The 636-nt window shown below is 34.7% G+C and overlaps 1 annotated feature.

The window, feature by feature from the left end:
• Positions 303 to 362: an enhancer, noted in NCBI's record as "active region_21524". NCBI's record gives its function as "activates an Ori minimal core promoter by ATAC-STARR-seq in GM12878 lymphoblastoid cells {active_cell/tissue: GM12878}" and the evidence as "EXISTENCE:reporter gene assay evidence [ECO:0000049][PMID:35858748]".

The following is a 636-nucleotide window of genomic DNA, read 5'->3' as shown; positions in this document are numbered from 1 at the left end:
ACAGGACTGAATAAACCTACTGAAATTATAGAAATAAAAATGGATATCTCCTTGCCCACTATTGACACTCTCTAGGAATATGATTAAATGTTATTAGCAGATGACTTTTTCCTTTTTCCAAATGAAGATGTCAAATGTCTTCCACTTGTTCAATTTGTAAATTGGATAGATTTTTTCCATTGTTGAAGACATTCTCTGGAGTTTTAAGCAGATTTTATTCACTTGCTATCCATGGTTATTCATTTTCTATTAATCCCACACTAATTGGGTATATTATGATATTTTTGTGAGAACAATATGTTAACATTGGTAAGTTCATGTCATTCAACCTAATATGTAGTAATAAATATATAGTAGGACTTGCTCAGATCCACTGGGTGGGGACGGAGAGTTGTCATGAGAAGGAAAGGTTACAATATGGAGAGTCAAGGGGGAAAAGGGAGAAGTGAGGTTGCTTGGGTACAGATATAGCAGAAGTAAACTTCAAGGTGGAGCCTTTATGTAACTCTGTTATATTTCACATAGTTCAAAGAGAAGAATTACATGTAGTAGACAATGTTAATTGCCTACATAACAGCTATTCACTCCCTTCTTTCTGGCTAACAGAAAGCTATTCTCTCCCTTCTTTCTGACGAA

The sequence above is a fragment of the Homo sapiens genome, chromosome 4 (genome assembly GCF_000001405.40).
Source record: "Homo sapiens chromosome 4, GRCh38.p14 Primary Assembly".
NCBI lineage: Eukaryota > Metazoa > Chordata > Mammalia > Primates > Hominidae > Homo > Homo sapiens.
The sequence above is the reverse complement of the archived record's forward strand: the minus strand, read 5'-3'. Positions and strand labels throughout refer to the sequence as shown.